Source organism: Homo sapiens, chromosome 2 (genome assembly GCF_000001405.40).
Source record: "Homo sapiens chromosome 2, GRCh38.p14 Primary Assembly".
Lineage (NCBI taxonomy): Eukaryota > Metazoa > Chordata > Mammalia > Primates > Hominidae > Homo > Homo sapiens.
The window spans coordinates 10,339,860-10,358,977 of record NC_000002.12 but is presented as its reverse complement, the minus strand read 5'-3'; the positions used below and the strand labels follow the sequence as shown (position 1 = coordinate 10,358,977).

The 19,118-nt window shown below is 50.1% G+C and overlaps 1 protein-coding gene across 16 annotated transcripts in view, besides 1 other annotated feature; it reads right to left on the bottom strand.

The window, feature by feature from the left end:
• Nucleotides 1–19,118, bottom strand: part of HPCAL1 (hippocalcin like 1) — a 124,701-nt gene that overhangs the window by 68,627 nt on the left and 36,956 nt on the right. The gene's annotated exons all lie outside the window — the stretch shown is intronic.
• Nucleotides 14,333–14,833: an enhancer, noted in NCBI's record as "H3K4me1 hESC enhancer chr2:10484271-10484771 (GRCh37/hg19 assembly coordinates)". NCBI's record gives its function as "activates a minimal SCP1, AML or CMV promoter by ChIP-STARR-seq in primed H9 embryonic stem cells {active_cell/tissue: H9 hESC(primed)}" and the evidence as "EXISTENCE:reporter gene assay evidence [ECO:0000049][PMID:30033119]".

Below are 19,118 nucleotides of genomic sequence, written 5' to 3'. Positions count from 1 at the left end.
AGGAGTGAATGTTTACAGCTGAAGCCCCGGTGGGCATTCAGGGTGCTCTTTTAGTTTGCCATCCGTAGGCAGCTTGTGTTAGTCAGCTCAATTATACCCCTGCCTTATCATAAGGACAGAGGACTTTCTGTATCCCTGGTTCCTGCCTTGGTGTACCAGAAGATCACACGTGGGCTTGGAGAATGAGTGCAAGGTTTTATTGAGCTCACCCAGCAGATGGGGGAGCCAGAAGGGAGATGGTTTTCCTGACTCTTCTCCGACCGCCCCAGCCAAACTCCGGGGCATTCTGCTGGTCAGTGGCCTGCCAGCGTGCCGGCATCTGTTGTGTGCTCTTCCCCAGGGCATGTTCCCCCGACGTCCTCTTGATATCCAGCCACGTGTGTCTTCTTCCACCCACGTGTTCCTCTCAATGTCCAGCCGCTTCTGTGTGTGCCTGCTAGGCTCTCGCGGTTTTTATAGGCACAGGATGGGAGTGTGGTGGGCCAGGGTGGTCTTGGGAAATGCAGCATTTGGGTGTAAAGGCAGGAGTGTCTGTCCTCACCTAGGGCTGTGGGCATGGGCCCAGGGGTGGAGCCCTCGACAGGGACCCGCCCTTCTCCTCCCAGCACTTCCCTGCCCCACTTCCGTATCAGCTGGGAGTTCAGGACCAGTCTGGACAACATAGTGAGACTCCGATTCTATTAACGAAAATGGAAGAAGTGGTTGAGATTGTGACACTACTGATTTGTGCTTGTTTCCCTCCTCATCCTTTCTATCACAAAATAGGGCCTGACAACCTGATGTTACCGCACATCTATCCTGTTTATTAAAGTGGGGCCGGAATCATCCAGCCATCGGCCACGATTTTAGCCAGAAGCTGGTGCTGAGCCTTCTCCTTCTTCCAGCAACTCCTCCAGGTACAGGAGAAAGAGGCTTTCCACCGGGGCTGCTATACAGCACGGGGCCGTGGTGGACACGGGAAAGGAACCCTTCAGACAGGGCTGGGGTTTCAGCCCTGGGGCTGGTGCCGGCTCAAGGTCACAGCTTGTTTTCCTCAGGGGATCCCTGGGTAAAAGGTGACTGGGGGTAGGCCAGGTGTGGCCCCCTCCCTCTCCCTTCCCAGCTGCTCCTGCTTTCTGGCATAGCACGCTTTTTTTTTTTTCCTGCCTAAAGAAGTCACTGCTGCTTCCTAACAGGAGGACGGTTTTGTTGTTGTTACAGTCGGGGATGGGATTATGCATGGAGGAAAAACACGCTTTCTTGATTTTCTTCTGTAAACTGCAGGTGGGGAAAACAAAACGAGTAAATAACTGTTCTACAAACACCTCATGGGGAGGGAGGTCGTGATATTTACAAGAACATCGGCTTTCTGCTGGATTTCCATTTGGAGGGATCTAATAAAGATGCAGGAGGCATTTCTGCTCTTCCTAACACACTCCGCGGAGGAAACGCTGTCACAGGCGACGATCTAAAGCCAATCAGAGCAGAATTCTGCCATGGCCGAGCCCCACAGGGTCCACTCCCTCTGCATCCCCCTGGGGTGGTTCCCGGGCCCCTGCCACAGCTTCCCTGGCCCACATCAGCACCACATAAGGTAAAGACATGGCCTCAGATGAAGAGGAAAGATAACAGTGCAGAAGAACACGGGGAAAGCACGCAGGAGAAAGAGCAAAACCTGAGAGAGCTGACAACCTGGGCTGGGCCAGGAGTTGAGAAGGCCATGTGGCTGGCCTGGCTTGGTGGGTACTGCAAGCCTCTCATGTCCCACCTCAGCCACCCTCACATTTACTAAAAGGAGGCTGTTCCTCAAAAGGAGAGCACAGGCCCTGAGGAGGAACGGAAGGCTCCTACGTCAAGCCTGGACAGCATCACCATCTTTTTTTTTAGACACAGAGTCTCGCTGTGTCACCCAGGCTGGAGTGCAGTGGTGCAATCATAGCTCACTGCAGCCTCAACCTCCTGGGCTCAAGGTATCCTCCCACCTCAGCCTCCCAAGTAGCTGGGACTACAGGCATGTGCCACCACGCCTAGCTAATTTTGTATTTTTGGGGGTAATGGGGTCTTGCTATGTTGCCTAGGCTACCATCACTATTTTAAAACACTCTACAGTTGTGGATATGCAGCTGGGATTTGGAGATGGGTGGCCCCGCAGGGAGGAGTCTGTGGGAGAATGCACAGGGGCACAAGCATGGGTCCACCTGGAGGGAGGGGGGAAGCCAGGGCCTGAGGGAACACCAAGAGCATGGCTGGGCCCGGGAGCCCACAGGTGAGAGCATCTCAGCACCTCTGCCTCCCTGACTTACACACTGGGGGACGTGATTTCCTGTTGGCCAAGCGCCAGGTGGTGTGGTGTGTGGGGCACGGGGCCTGGCTATGGAGCCAGGTAGACCTGGGTTCAAATGCCACCTTATACGTAGGACCGGTTACTTAATCTTCCCGTGCCTCAGGCTCCTCTCCTGTCATTCAAGGAAATGCCACCTCAGGGAGTGGCTGCAGGATGGAAGGGGACAGTGGATGTGCCCCCCACCACCCTCTGAGTCCCACCGTCCTGGCACACACCGTCCTCCCTCAAGCTTCTCCTCTTGCTTTTACCCCAGTCTGTCCTTCAAGTCCCAGTTCAAAACTACCACCTCCCCAGTCCCTCAGGCAAAAGGGGTCTCCACTATGAACTCCCTTGGCACTAAGAGGCGTCCTGTGACCTTTAACACTCTCATGCTGCACTCATGATTCACTATAGGCCCGTCCTGTCTTCTCTTCCAGGCGAGCGGGAGGTTTAGTAGCTTAGGAGCTGCGTGTCCTTAGGCAAATTGCCCTACCTTGCTGGCCATCAGTTTAAACAGAAACCAGAGGTAACACCTGCCTCTTAAGGTTGTTGCTGGACTCAGAAGAGTAAATGAATAAATGAACTGGCGGTTCCCTCGCCAGTTAGGAATGAGTATGTTTTGCCAAAAGGCCCACAAATCAATACCATCCCACCTGCTCTGTGCGGTCCCTGGGGTGAATTACTGAGCTGTGACTAGCGTTCCTGGGGAAGAGAATGCACTCTCCAAGCCTGAGCCCAGGGCTGTCACTAGAACATGTCCTCCGGCAGGGGCTCCCGGTGCCAAATAAGAGGAAAGTAGGTACCAGTTTCTGAGACCCTCATAGCCATGCCCTGTGCGTCCCCTACTCAGACCCAAAAGAAACCTTCACAAGGCTACTCTGTATCTATTTAGGAAAAAAAAAAAGTGTCCATCTCTGTGGAGCCTAATCTTCAAATGCCTTTGCAAACTGCTCCCCAATCTCCTTGAGCCCTGGACAGTGGGCAAGAACGGAGGAGGTGACACAGTTCTTGATTTTCCCAGCCGCTCTCTGGGTGTCCCTGTATAAGCCAGCAAAGTAGCAACAGTGTCTCCAGGAAAACGAAACCCTCTTTACTGCTGCCCACTGAACAACTTTTTACATTTTCCAGAATGCTGAAGATTCACAACCCACCTACTTCTGAGTGATCAGTGGTGTGGCTGTCCCGTTAAACTCTTTTTTTTTTTTTTTTTTTTTTTTTTTTTTTTGAGACGGAGTCTCGCTCTGTCGCCCAGGCTGGAGTGCAGTGGCGGGATCTCGGCTCACTGCAAGCTCCGCCTCCCGGGTTCACGCCATTCTCCTGCCTCAGCCTCCCAAGTAGCTGGGACTACAGGCGCCCGCCACTACGCCCGGCTAATTTTTTGTATTTTTAGTAGAGACGGGGTTTCCCCGTTTTAGCCAGGATGGTCTCGATCTCCTGACCTCGTGATCCGCCCGCCTCGGCCTCCCAAAGTGCTGGGATTACAGGCGTGAGCCACCGCGCCCGGCCCCGTTAAACTCTTATGCACCCTTCAAAGCCCAATTCAAATGTCCCCTCTCTTTGCTGCTGCCACCACCTAGCCCCAGGAGGATCCTACCAGCTGTTCCCTCAGGCTTTAAACACATGGTACACATGCCCACTTTGCTTCCTGTCCTTCTGCTAGTCTGTTACCTGCCTGGGCACAGGCCATCATCCTCCTCATCTTCATCTCTGCAGCACCTAACACAGTGCCTGGTGCACGGTGGGTGCCCAGGGGCTTGTTGAATTCAATTGTTGAATTGAAGGATCTATGAGGAGGGGACCACAGTTTGCAAAGCAAACGTCGCATCATTAAGTTCTAACACAAGGTCAGCACGCAGGGCTGTGTATTTAAGATCAGACACGTTTGGAAAACCCAGGGCATTTGTACAATAAGCTCACATCCATATCCTCCCTCCTTGAAGCCTATGCAAGAACCCAGAAAGAAGTCAAAGTAAAATACGTAAACAGTAGTTTTTGAGTAGTTAAAATTCCTGTCTCTGCCTCAGTGCGTCGGACAATGGAAAGAATGTGAGAAGCACAGCCAAGGGCCCGGAATTTGAGTCCCGACACCTCGGCCATGGCTGTGCGATGAGCCCTGGGAGCTCTGCTTCTGTAAAACAAACCAACCCAGGACACCCTGGCAAGTCAACCTGGAAGGTGGCTGACCAAGACCGTGGCCTTAATTTGGCCAAGTCGACATTGGTTTCAGCCCAGAATTCACTAGAAGACATTGAAGACTCTGTTCAAGTGAACAGTTGAGCAAAGTGTCCCCTTACAGTACAGGGAAGATAGCAGGCCCTGGGAAGCTTCCAGAAGGTCCTCTGAAGTGCCTGAAATGCAGGAGGCCCTTAGAACGTATTTGTGGAATGAAGAACGAGGACACGCAGGATTGCATGGCTGAAGGGCTGCGCCTGGAGAAGACAGAGAGGACTTCTGCTGGGCCTGAGGGGTTGAGAAAGAAGATGAGTGAGTTGAGGCTTCAGGAAGAGCAAGTTAAGGAAGGATTAAGCAGTAGAACTACATAATTCGACGGCTGGAATGCATCGCCGTGGGAGGAGTGAGCGCCTTGTCACTGGAGAAATGCAAGCCCAGAGGAGATGACAGATCACATCACAAAACCACAGTAAAAAAGATCTAAATATGGGTACTTACCATTAAAATAGTCCCTCAACCCAGGGATCCAGCATTCCACATTCTAGACCAGGGGTCAGCAGATCTCTGCCTGCTGCATGAGGGCAGCCGGACACAATGACATAAAGCAAATGAGTGTAGCTGTTCCAATAAAATTTTATTTGAGACCAGGTGTGGTGGCTCACGCCTGTAATCCCAGAACTTTGGGAGGCTGAGGTGGGAAGATTGTCCAAGAGTTCAAGACCAATCTGGGCAACATAGTGAGACCTCGTCTACTAAAACTCAAAAAAATTAGCCGGGCATAGCGGCACACGCCTATAATCCCAGCTACCTGGGGAGGCTGAGGCAGGAGGATTGCTTGAGCCTGGGAAGTCAAGGCTGCAGTGAGCCCTGATCATGTCACTGCACTCCAGCCTGGGTGAGAGAGCAAGATCCTGTCTCAAAAAAATTTAAAAAATTTAAAAAGAAACCTGCCCAGAGTCTGGCCCTACATGGAAAGCTGATCATTTCAGTCCTGCCTTCTCTAAAAGACAAACCAGTTGCCAGGGGCCACTGGCCCTGAACCAGTATCCCCACACCTGCAGGCAGGGCCCCCCACGACAGCACTGGCACAGGAGCTTGGCAGAAAGAGAAGGATGGCACTGGGGGCTTCTCTGCTCTACAGACACTCTTTTAGAGGACGGGCTTTCCTTCTGAGACTGTGCTTGTTCTTGTTGTTGCAGGTGTTAAATGTCCTTGGTATTAATATTATAAAGAATAATAGTAGGTCCCATGCGCAACACAGGCCTCAGCTGGTTCTCAGACAAACCTGTGCCCAGCACGCCCAAAACACTGCCCATTTGACAGATGAGGAAACTGAGGTGCAGAAAGGCATAGCGGCCTTTTTCTGAGTCTCCTGGCAAATTGACAGCAGAAATGAGAACTGCATCGGCACGACTGCCTGCCAGCTTAGGACACTGGGGATTCATTCTTCCCTTACCCTAACCTGGTCAACCAAAATTCCAATCGCCTTTCTCTACAGAGCTGACAAAGCATCATTTTCATGAAGAGTCTTCTCGTTCAGTGACCAGAGCATGTCAAAAATATTCAGTATCCAAACGGCTCTGAGTTTTTTCTAATGTCAAGAATGGTACCCACCTTCAAAGAGCTTACTAGTTGGCCAGAAAGACTAGAAGAGTCTTTTCATTTGGCTACAGAGAGGGCAGAGGGCTGGAGTGATCTCTGTGTGCTCAGAAGGCCTGGGCAGAGCCAAGAAAGACTCCAAAGGTCCCTCCTGATGGGGGGCACCAGGCCCTCAGCTCCCTCCCCAGCTCTCCCTGGGGGGGCCTGAGCTGGCTACTGTAGCTCTCCTGACACCCTGGCATTGAGACACCCATGCGAAGGAGAGCTAAGCGTGGCCCAACCAAGGAACCAGATCCCAGACGTCCCCAGGGGACTGCAGAGGAAGAGATAGGCCTGGATCTTGCCCCAGCATGCATGGCCTCTGCTGATGGCACAGCTGCTGGAGGATGAAGTCAACTGCTTCCAGGAGGACTAATTTAGCTCCAAACATAAACCCTACTGGGAAATCAGTTCTTAAGAGAGAGAGATTTAAGACTAGAACGGAAAAGTTTTAGCAGAGCGTAGGTGGGAATCAAGGTGTCTTCTCTCTCTTGAGAAGGGGCTACAAAGGGATGGGGAAGGGAAAAAGGAAGTGAGGTCCCAAACAGGCGAAAGGAAAGCAAGAACCTCCCTCACCAGAACAGTGAGATGGGGAGAGGGAAGGTGAGTGGGAGGTATATGGATAGGCAGAACACTTGCGGTTCACACACCATACAATTCACATATTTAAATTCAATGGTTGGCTGTGTAATCCCAGCACTTTGGGAGACTGAGGCAGATGGATCACTTGAGGTCAGGAGTTTGCGACCAGCCTGGCCAATAAGGCAAAACTCCTTCTCTACTAAAAATACAAAAATTAGCCAGGTGTGGTGGTACGCACCTGTAATCCCAGCTACTTGGGAGGTTGAGGCATGAGAATCTCTTGAACCCAGGAGGTGGAGGTTGCAGTGAGCTGAGATCGCGCCACTGCACTCCAGCCTGGGCAAGAGTGAGACTCCGTCAAAAAAAAAAAAAGAAAGAAAGAAAGAAGGAAGGAAGGAAGGAACTCAATGGTGACACAACTGTGCAACCATCGCTTATCACCATGATCAATTTTGTAAAGAATCACTGCCCCCTTTTTCAGACAGGGAGAATTTTGCCCTTTATTTGTTTGTTTGTTTTATATTTGAGACAGGGTGTTGCTCTGTCACCCAGGCTGGAGTGCAGTGGCACGATCATGGCTCACTGCAACCTCAACCTCCTGGGCTCAAACAATCTTCCCACCTCAGCCTCCCAAGTAGCTGGGACCACAGGCACACACCACCACACCTGGCTAATTTTTTTCTTTTTAGTAGAGACAGAGGTCTCGCCATGTTGCCCAGGCTGATCTGGAACTCCTGAGCTCAAGCAGTCCTCCTGACTCAGCCTCCCAAAGTGCAATGATTATTGGCATGAGCCATGGCACCTGACCAGAACATTTTTATCTTCCCCAAAAGAAACCATGTACCCATTCACTGCCACTCCCCATTTCCCCTCAGCCTCCCAGTCCCAGCCCCAGGCAACAACTAATCTGCTTTCTGTCTCTACAGATTTGCCTATTCTGGACATTTCACATAGATGGAATCGTATTATATGTGGTCTTTTGTGACTGGCTTCATTCACTTAGCATATCTTTTCAAGGTTGGTCCATGTTGTAGCATGAATCTCAACTTCATTCCTTTTACTGCTCAGTGATATTCCATTGTATGGATAGACTACATTTTGTTTATCCATTCATCAGTTGATGGACATTTTGGTCATTTTCACTTTCTGGCTGCTGTGAATAATGCTGCTGTAAACATTTATGTGTAAGTTTTCATTTCTCTTTCATTCTTATATGCCTAGGAGTACAACTGCTAGGTCATATGGTAACTCTAGATTTAAGCTTTTGAGGAACTGCCAGGCTGTTTTCTGAAGAGGCTGCACCATTTTCATCCTACCAACAGCGTATGAGGGTTCCACCTTCTCCATTTCCTCATCTCCGCTGGAGTTTATAGGACTTTTTGATTCTAGCAGTCTTACTGGATATATCGCTGTTGTTTTCATGTGCATTTCCCTCGTGACTAATGATGTTGAGCATCTTGTCATGTGCTTCTTGGCCACTTGTATATCTTTGGAGAAACGTCTATTCAAGTCCCTTGCCCATTTTTTAACTGGGTTGTCTTGTATTATTGAGTTGTAAGAGTTCTTTATATATTCTAGATGCAAGTCTAGAATCTATACAATTCGCAAATATTTTCTCCTATTCTGTGAGCTGTCTCTTCACTTTCTTGACGGTATTCTTTGAGGCACAGGTGTTTTAAATTTTGGCTGGGTGTGGTGGCTTACTAGCACTTGGGAGGCTGAGGCAGATGGATCGCTTGAGCCCAGGAGTTCGAGACCAGCCAAGGCAATATGGTGAGATCCTGTCTCTACAAAAAATACAAAAATTAGCCAGGCATGGTGGCATGCACCTAATAGTCCCACCTACTCAGGAGGCTGAGGTGGGGGGATTGCTTGAGCCCAAGAAGCAGTAAGCCATGATCATGCCACTGCACTCCAGCCTGGGCAACAGAGCAAGACCCTGCCTCAAAAAAAAAAAAAAAAAAGGACATAGATTTTTAAAAGGCCAGAAGAAAGCAGACTTCATTAGCTGCTTCCCCTAATTGCCCCTGGACTATGGGGCATGCTCTGTCCCCTTCTGGGTGCATAGAGCATGTGGGAACCTTCGGGCAGGTGCACTCTGAGCCCACCAAGACTCAGTTACGTTTGTTTCCAAACCTGCTTATACCAGTAGTACTTATGTAATTACCAAAGTTAATTAAATTTTATGCAAACCCTCAGAAGAGGAATTAAAAGGAGTTGGTTTTATGAAACAGAGTTGAATGTTTGGGGGAAGATGGCTGTTCAATTAGGCATGAACAAAATAACTGTATAATATCAGTGGTATATGAAATCGGCAAGGATTTGGTGCTAGTTCCTACATTACTTGACAGAAACAGAAACTGAGAATCTCAGAAAATGCATTAACAGTGTGGATAGTGCAAAAAAGACATATCAGGACAGAAGCCAGTGGACCCATAATCCAAGAGAGGTCTTGGCCCTGTATCAAGAGATGGGGAATAAATGCATTTTTATATGAAAATGAAACGTTTTATGTCAAAACGAAATGCTCAATATGTCTATATCTTTTTTTTTTTTTTTTTTTTTTTTTTTTTTTTTTTTTGAGACAGAGTCTTGCTCTGTCACCCAGGCTGGAGTGCAGTGGCATGATCTCGGATCACTGCAAGCTCCGCCTCCCAGGTTCACGCCATTCTCCTGCCTCAGCCTCCTGAGTAGCTGGGACTACAGGTGCCCGCCACCACGCCCAGCTAATTTTTTGTATATTTAGTAGAGACAGGGTTTCACCGTGTTAGCCAGGATGGTCTCTCCTGACCTCATGATCCACCCGCCTCAGCCTCCCAAAGTGCTGCGATTACAGGTGTGAGCCACCGTGCCCGGCGTCTATATCATTTTTATGATCCCCTCTTTAATAATCTTTTTCAATTACCCAACTCCCTGCCAGGTCAGATAATACTGGAAAAGCAGGCTTCTTACAAGCACTCAAATAGAAGAGTGGCTACCTGGGCAGGGGTGACAAAATATTATTTTTTGTCTCCTTCTTACCTCTTAGTATGTTTGAGACGTTCTAATAAGTATGGATGACTTTTATGGTAGAGAACAAGTATGTAAAATTTATTTTTGAAGATTCAGATTCCATTACCGCCTGTTAATAAAGGGAAGAAATTTGGAAACGCTGCACTGCCGTGGCCAGCATTGTTAACTGCAGCCAAGAACATGCCCCTGTGCCACAAAGATAAACAAGCAGGAAATGTGCAAAAGGAACAACATAAAACAATAAGACCATCAGGCTCAAATGCGTGGCTACTTTAATTGAAAGCTAGTAAAACGCTGAAATAGATGCTGAATGTGATTGAATTCAGACAGGCCCTTTCCTGAGCTCTTTGGTTAAAGCTACTGGGCACCGTGAGAGGCAGACATACTTTTGGAAAGCCAGGCTGCTGGACTAAATGGGTTCAACGAACATCATACCAGACAAATCTGGATTTCCCAGGAGAAGGCCAGAATCCAGAGTTTTGTTTTGTTTCTTGAGACAGAGTCTCACTCTGTCGCTCAGGCTGGAGTGCAGTGGTGGGATCAGAGCCCATTGCAGCCTCAGACTCCTGGGCTCAAGTGATCTTCCCACCTCAGCCTCCCAAGTAGCTGGGACTGTAGATGCACATCACCCTGCCTGGCTAATTTATATATATATATATTTTTTTTTTTTTGTAGAGACAGGATCTTGCTATGCTACCCAGGCTGGGCAAATACTCCTGGGCTCAAGCGATCCCCCCACCTTGGTCTCCCAAAGCACTGGGATTACAGGTGTGAACCACCACAGCTGGCCCAGAGTTTTTTCTGTTGTTGTTTTTTGTTTTTTGAGATGGAGTCTTGCTCTGTCGTGCAGGCTGGAGTGCAGTGGAGCGATCTCGGCTCACTGCAACCTCCGCCTCTTGAGTTCAAGTGATTCTCCTGCCTCAGCCTCCCGAGTAGCTGGGATTACAGGTGTGTACCACCATGCCCAGCTAATTTTTGTATTTTTAGTAGAGATGAGGTTTCACCATGTTGGCAGGCTGGTCTTGAACTCCTGATCTTAGGTGAACTGCCCACCTTGGCCTCCCAAAGTGCTGGGATTACAGGCATGAGCCACTGTGCCCGGGCTGGCCCCTAGTATTTTTAAAGAAACACAATGTCACTGCTCTGATGTGTACAAAATAAGTGATTAAGAGGTCCGTCTCACTGACCCTAAATCCCTGCCCCCTTGAACTTGATCTTGCTTTTATATCCCCACCATGCTAGGCTTACAGTAGGTATCTAATCACTGTGTTAAAGCATGAACAAATGCAAGCTTAAGAGTGACTTATGAAGATACCAATCTTTCTCCTGTAAACCAGGGCTTCTGAAATGGTCCTTCTACAGCACTCCTCCCCTCCCCCATTCCCACGCTGCATTTTCTTATGTTTGAGACACAGTTTGCTAAACCCAACCTTGTCTGAATTAATGAGGACACAGAAGTGAAGGGTTTGGGGAGCTAAACATTAAACCGATTTGGCCCATACTCCGTGCCAGGCTTCATACTGGATCCCCGTGAAACACAGGAAGCCTCAGAAAATGCCCAACCCCGCCCCGCAGACACAGTGCCATGGGAAAGGCTGCTGCTGGAGTGTTTAAACCTGTGAGGAACAGCACCAGAAAGGCCCAGACAGCCAGAGCGGGGCCTGAAGGAAAAGCAGGGTGGGTGCTGAGGACAGACACCCACAGATCAGCTCCTGGGACCCCAGGGTGGCAGGAGGCACTTCCAAAGGAGAAGTAGTGGGTGTGGCCATTTTAAACCTCTTTCCTCCTCCCCACGCCCACCTTTGCCCCACCGTGGTCCACATCTGGGGCTGGAACTTAGGCGAAGTGACCATTATCAGGCGCTGGGGGGCACATTTTATACCATCAGGAAATTCCTGTGAGCCAAGTCAGTCCCAGCACATGGGCCTTCCCTGAAGGCCCTGCTCCCCATGAGACTCTGAGACAGGGCTCTGCCTGGTGTGGATGACAGGCTCAGAAAAGGGTGGGCCGGGGGCTGGGTGACCAAGCCAACGACGGAAGGAGCAAGTTGTTCTAAAGAACAGGCGCCCACCGTATGGGTCACGGATGCCAGGGAGGCAGACACTCCCTCTCACTGAGGCCGGCCTGTGTGTCAGGCTGAACTCCAGCACCTGCGGGGGGCGGGGGCGGTGCGGGGCTCTCTAGAGACTTCTGAAAGTGAATCCCAGTAATGTCAAACTCATCTATGAGCACTCTGCTCCTCTGAGGATGAAAACAGTTCGCACCACTCTGCAAACAAATATAAATCCCTTAGAAACTAATCTGGGTGGGTGGGTGGGGTGGTGGGGATGACAAGAGGAACAAATGTTTAAAATCTAACATCCTCCAGGGTGGTCCTGACCCCAGTTAGAAGGAGAGAGAAGGAAGAGGGTGGGGGGAGGGAGCCAGGGCCTGTCTGTGCTGGGGAGGGAGCAGTGGAGGAGCACAAAGACATGGAGAAGGAAGGGGAGGAAGGGGAGAGAAGTGAGAAGCTCTCACAGTCTCGTTTTTGTACTATCATGGTGAAAACACAGTACACTTCATTCTGTTTGATGATGCCAACGCCTGCTACTGGAAAACACTCTCCTTGCACATCATATCCATAAATAAATGCCAGTCCCGGGTCTGTGGGTCTCAGCCTGGTAGACCGGTTATGTCAACTGGACAGTGCTTTTAATGGACCATTTATAGCCTGACTGGCTCACAACAAAAATGCCTGCACGGAGACCTAGAGGGTTAAACATCTCTTTAAGACAGAACTGCCTCCCAATTGAAAGAGGAAAAAAGCCACAGAGGGGACTGGGGCCAGGCAGACAAAGTTAACATTTGAGGATGAGGGAGCACCTCCCCCAAGACTCCACAGCCAAGCCCTGAATGAGGCACGTGGGCTGTGATGGGGTCAGTCCCATTCCATCCCCTCCCAATTCTGGCATGAGGGCTTCTCCCACCATATCCCCAGAGCCTCGAGACAGAATACCAGGAGGCTCCCCATGGCCCCCACAACATCAGCAGTCACTGCTGCTCCCCAACTTTCTCCCCGTCACCCCCCCTCAAAGAAGGACATGAGTGCAGCTGTGCTAGTGTCCTACTGGGAGGCCACCAGCCCCTGATGGACCAAGGGGGGTCTGAGGACCCCAAGGCATTGCACATAAGTGTTTGCATGCATACACACACACACACAGCCTGGCTCTCTCACACATACACAGACACACACACCCCCAGGGCACACACTCAGACACACCCACACACTCACACTTCCACTTATTCCCACAATTGTTCTTCCTGGTTTGGATCAACAGACCATCTGTGTGCTTGTGTGACTTAGGAAATCTTCCAAAATACGGCAAAAGTTCGCAGTCCTTGCCCCTTTTGTGGTGGGGGAGGGGCGTCATAAATAGTTTTCTAGTTTCTTTATATTTTCTATTTTACAGTGAACATGCATGTATCACTTTTATATTCAGAAAAAGTTAAAACACAAAATTTTTAAAAGTTTTTCTGGATGGGTGCAGTGGCTTATGCCTATAATCCTAGCACTTTGGGAGGCTGAAGTGAGAGGATCGCTTAAGCCCAAGAGTTCGAGACCAGCCCAGGCAGCATAGCAAGACCCTGTCTCTACAAAAAATACAAAAATTAGCTGGGTGTGGTGGCTCACACCTGTAGTCCCAGCTTCTTGGGAGGCTGAGGTGGGAGAATCGCTTGGGCCTGGGAAGTCAAGGTTGCAGTAGGCCAAGATTGTGCCACCACTCCAGCCTGGGTGACAGCAAGACCCTGTCTCAAAAAAAAAAAAAAGTTTTTCTAGGACAAATAATAAATAGTACCACAGTAGGTCACATTCATCTCATCTTGACCCACACAACAGCACTGTGAAGTAGTGCTTCCATTTTACAAATGAAGAAACCCAGGATAAGGGAACTTGAAAGCCGCCCAAGGTCACCCAGCTAGCAAGTGGCAAAAACGCAGAGTACAGTATTATCACTCCTGGGAAAAAGGTTCCTCTAGTCTGTCCCAAAGACGGAGAGAGAGACACACACAGAGAGACAGAAAGAAAGAGACAGACAGACAGGCAGGCACAGAGATAGAGAGATTGAAACAGAGAGAGCAAGACAGACAGAAACAGAGACAGACACATACAGAGACAGAGACAGACACACAGAGAGAGGCAGAAAGAGACTGCAAGACAGGCACAGAGAGAGACAGAAAGAGAGAGAGAGAGAAACAGACACATAGAGAGAGGCAGAAAGAGACTGAAAGGCACAGAGAGAGAGACACACAGAAAAAGAGAGAGAGATGGACACATAGAGAGAGGCAGAAAGAGACTGAAAGGCACAGAGAGAGAGACACACAGAGAGAAAGAGAAACGGACACATAGAGAGAGGCAGAAAGAGACTGAAAGGCACAGAGAGAGACACACACAGAAAGAGAGAGACAGAGACAGACACAGAGAGAGAAGCAGAAAGAGACAGAAAGTCAGGCACAGAGAGAGACACACACAGAAAGAGGGAGAGAGAAACAGACACATAGAGACAGACAGACAGACACAGAGAAAGAGACAGAGACAGAGCAAGTCCTGGGAGGAAGGGAAGGGGGAGCAGAGTACTGTGGAGTGTGGGACGCCCGTCTTACTCATTTGATTATAAAATATTTCTGAGCTGCCAGATGGTATAATAGTGGCTGCAGATGCCCCGATAGCTTTTCTTCATTTCTTTGCACAGGGCTCCATTTCAGGGCCTGAAGAGTGATATCTAAGAAGCTATTCTGGAGTTCCATAAAGACAATCACTATACAACTATGGAATCGCCGCTTGGTGCATGCGCTTAACAGATGTGCACTGGTTCTGGCTTCCTGGATAAACGGGCCTTATGCTAATCGTGAGGCACCTAGCGGCACTTCGGGGCCCCCCTTGCTGGCACATGGCCTGCTCAGGCAGGGATGGGATCTGGGCTTGTTACGTAATTAATCCTTGGCTCAGGGCTGCTGCACACCCCACACAGACGCTGGTCGAAGTGATGCCTATGGGGAAAGCAAGCATCAAAGACCACGTCCCCAGGGTCCTCTGAGCCAGGAGCGGCCGAGACTTCGAGATCAAAGCTGTAGGGTTAATGAGTTCACTGCAGTCCTCAACCGTCTGCTTGTTTTGTTCTGGCTTTTTCGTGTTGTGTTTTGTTTAGTTTTTAATAAGGGAGTCTTCATCCCTGCTCCTTCGACAGCTCAGTAACCCAGTTAGAAAGCAACAGCTCTGTGCAGGATGCACCACACAGCCGCCGGTACTCCTGCCGGGTCTGAAGCCAGCGTTCTCTATATCCCAAGAGGTGCAGCCTCCCAGGAGGCATGGAGGCCCAAGCCTCACTCCAGAACTGCTTGCTTGGGAAGCGCACAGCCATGGGCCATGTGTTCATCCCTGAGGCCTGCCCCCTCTTCTCTTTCTGCCCTCATCTCTCCTCTCTCCCCTCAGCCCTGAGCCACGCCCAGCACAAGAGAACAGCAGAAAGACTTTCTATGCCATCTGCCACTGATCTAAAAGTCCCTTCGCAAGGATGAGTTTTGTTTCTGCTCTTAAAATTTAGCCTGGTTTCAGCCTGATCTCTTGGACTTGGCATTGGCCACGGTCAATCCAGTGTCTGCAGTCAAAGCAGTGGCAGCTTGCAAACCCATATAGTGGAGGTCCCACCTAAAGCCATGCCCACCCTAAAAATCCTCCAGACTTCAAGAAACCTCCAAGTTCAGAAGCAAAAGAAAGGAAGACCCAGGGAACAGCAGGAATCACTTGCATGGAAGTCTGTGGACAAACTAGGCTGGCTCACCTGCCTGCCTATGCAAACACCCACCTCCCACCCGGGAGTCCTGGAGGGAGATATGGTGCTATCAGTCCTTCACATGCTAGTGAGAATTAGCATCATCTTGCTCCTAGAAGAGAGTCATTACTCCGAGGATTGAGATCAGCCTTCTCAGCAGAGTGGCAGGGGAAGAGGAGATAAGTAATTTGAATGTGGTGTGTTTTATGGGGACGGGGCAGGCCTCCATGGTGTGCTAGAGGTCCAGGGTCCCAGGAGAGGGGTGATGGGGCTATTTACCAACTACCATGGAAGTTATTTTAATATTGTGACAGTGCACGGCTTGCCAGTGCATACCCACTGCACATCAGAGCTGCGGGCCCACTTGGAAACACACAGGGCCTGGAGCTGGGGAAGGACCCCTACTCTACACACACATCCAGAGGCACATTGAGTTTAAAACTTGCAACAGCTGGCAGGGCACTGATATCCCACACAGAAGACAGAAGCTTCAAACCAGCACTGGCCATCTCCAAAGCCAGGCCCCAGGGAGCAACATCCTGTCCAAAAAGGGGCCGGGGGAAGGCAGCGGGGAGAGGTACCAACTGCCACCCACAGGCCATAGCCTTGGTCTTCAGCCATGAGATGGACAGAAGAAGAGAATCCTCAGAGGCCGGCCAGAGCATCCTGCGTAGCTACTGGAGGGCAGCTGGCCCAACCGGGAACAGATTGTGCCTCTCTTTGCCCAGGAGTCCGGCTGGGTGACAAAACAAAACTCAACGAGAAAGAATGAGAGTCATGAGAGGGAGCTCAGAGCACAGTGCAAACACACGGGGTTCCTCCAGCCAGCACCTCTGCACATGCTGTTCCCTAGGCCTGGAATGCTTTCACCTCAATTTCCTCCCCTGCCAAAAGTCTGGCATCCTGCAAAGTCCAGCACAAGCCCCGCTCCCTGGGAGTCCCCTCCCACCCTCCCCCAGGCTGGGCTGATCAGTCCTCCTTGGAGCTACGTTGTTTCTGCACGCCTCCCTTTCAGGCTGCGCGCTGGAGGCACGGACTGCACATGTGGCTATATCCCAGGACCCAGACTGACTGGCCTCGCACAGAAGCAGGGCTGTGGCATTCCAGGGACACTTCCACAAAGAATGCAGTGTGCCCCTGGAGGCGGGCGAGGCAGGGTCCCCACCTCGGCCTGTTGCTTATTCAACAGGTTAATGATAACCACTCAGCAAGGAAAAATCTGTCTTAAATCCCACAAACGCTCCATCTAAATGAAACGGGGAGCAAAGCTTTATTATTATTATTATTATTTTTACAGACAAGGTCCACTCTGTCACCAGGCTGGAGCACAGCGGCACAATCAGAGCTCACTGTAGCCTCAACCTCCTGGGCTCAAGTCATCCTTCCAACTTAGCCTCCCAAGTAGCTGGGACTACAGGAGCACACCACCACCACATCTGGCTAATTTAAAAAAAAAAAAAAAACTTTATCTAGAGACAGAGTCTCACTATGTTGCCCAGGCTGGCCTCAAAGCAATCCTCAAGTGATCCTCCCACTTTAGCCTCCTAAAGTGCTGGGATTACACGTGTGAGCCAGCACGCCCAGCCCAGAGAAACTTTGAAATAAAGGACTTCTTCAACCCCAAACTTGTAGATCTTTTCAAAACATTTGAATTTTTCCCGTGGTAATCAGGAAGGTATTGCTTTTAAGACAGTCACATCTCTTGGGAAGCGTTGGACCCAGCCAATGCCCACTCTCCTGCCCCCTTCCACCCTCTCTCGGGCAGCCTTGCAACATAACCTAGGCAGGAGGGAATCCCTCCCCACTTTAGAAAGGCCCACGGCTCGTGTTTAGGTTTCTGAAGTCCTTCAGCAGCTTTCTTGTGTTGAGGGGAGAGTTTCTGCTTAAAGACCCCCGTCTCTTCCCCCAAAGCCCCCACCCATTGGTCATTCCTGAGCCTACTATAAAGAAGGCCCTCAGTACCTCCATGCATACATTTGTGCCACAATTTGTTGTTGTTGTTGTTGCTTTTAAGATAAGGTCTTGCTCTGTTGCCCAGGCTGGAGTGCAGTGGCGCAATCATGACTCACTGCAGCCTCGACTTCCTGGGCTCAGGTGATCCTCCCGCTTCAGTCTCCCGAGTACAGGCATGCACCACCGTGTCTGGCTAATTTTTGTATTTTTTTGTAGAGATGGGGTTTCACCGTGTTGCCCAGGATGGTTTTGTACTCCTGGGCTCAAATGATCCGCCCACCTCAGCCTCCCAAAGTGCTAGGATTACAGGCACCCCAGCACCCCAGCACTGCACCCCAGCCCACAGTTTCTATCATAAATCTAGACCCTTGAGTAGTCAACCTAGGCTTTAAGAAAAATCGCGAAGGACAGCCAATTTAAAGCATAACTCCACAGAAAACCTGCCTCCAGACACATGAAGGGAGGTTAGTTCAGTGGCCATCACATGTAATTTATTCTGATTTTATTACATATCCAATATAGTATCTAGAATTTATAATGATATTCTATGAGGAAGGGAAAAAAGTGAAATAATTTAACCCAGAGAAGAGGAGTTTGAGAGTTAATTTCATGAACTCGGCATGAAGCATGATTATAAGAGTGCTGTCTTACCCGGAGGGCAGTAACAGGACAGGGATTCAGGAACAGGGGAGGACAGGCCCCAGGCGTGGGCTGGCTGGAAGGGCAGGGATATGGGGGAACTGCGGGGCCCTGCAGCCTGGAGACTTTCTTCTCCAACAGTGCTTAGGGATAAGACTCAGTCTGAAAGGAAGCCCTGATGTCTGAAGTGAGAGTTTGAAAGCAAAGCTTTGAGAGCAGCAAGCTTGGGGTTGCGTCCCAGCTCTGCCGCTTACAGACTGCGTGGCCCTGGAAAGTTCAGTCCCCTCTGAGCCTGCATCCCCATGGTGCCAACAGGTATGACACCCCCTCCTGGGATGTTCCTGCGCCCTCCTACAGATGACCTCTCAAAGCTACCTATTCCTACTATCTGAGGGATATTCTGAGTCATCCAACGTTAAAGGCACATTAATAACTAGAACATTCCACCACCAGTCCCTGGAAAACATGTTTATCAAGATAGTGGCACAGTTCTTAGCAACAGGTCCTACAATACTGTGGCTACACCTTACATGGTTAGAAAGCAGCCTAGACACTGCACACCAAGAAGCTCCAGTAATCAGTGAAGGAAGCATTGATATCTTTCCCGTTCAAGAAAGGTAACTGGGATCAGAGATGTTAAGCCGCTTCTCCAAAGCCACACAGCTGGTTGAGGGGCTGAAGTGCACCCTTGGGTCTATGTCTTCCTTCCGCTTTGTTGTGGGGAGGAGCCGAGGCAGGGATGGGGGAAGGCGGTGCAGGCACACCCCACCACTGAGGCCAAATGTTGAAGGCTCATACTATGAGAAGCAAGGTGATATCACAGGACCACAGATTTTACCAGATCAACAAAACCAAGTGAAAGAACTCATCCCAATGTCATGAAGCCCAGACTAACCAAGAATCCCCTCCCCATACCCCTCACATACACACCTGTGATGCCCAGTAGGACCACAGGGAGAGTGCTGGCTCCGCTGGGCGCACGCAGGGGCTCAGGCCTCAACGCACAGGAA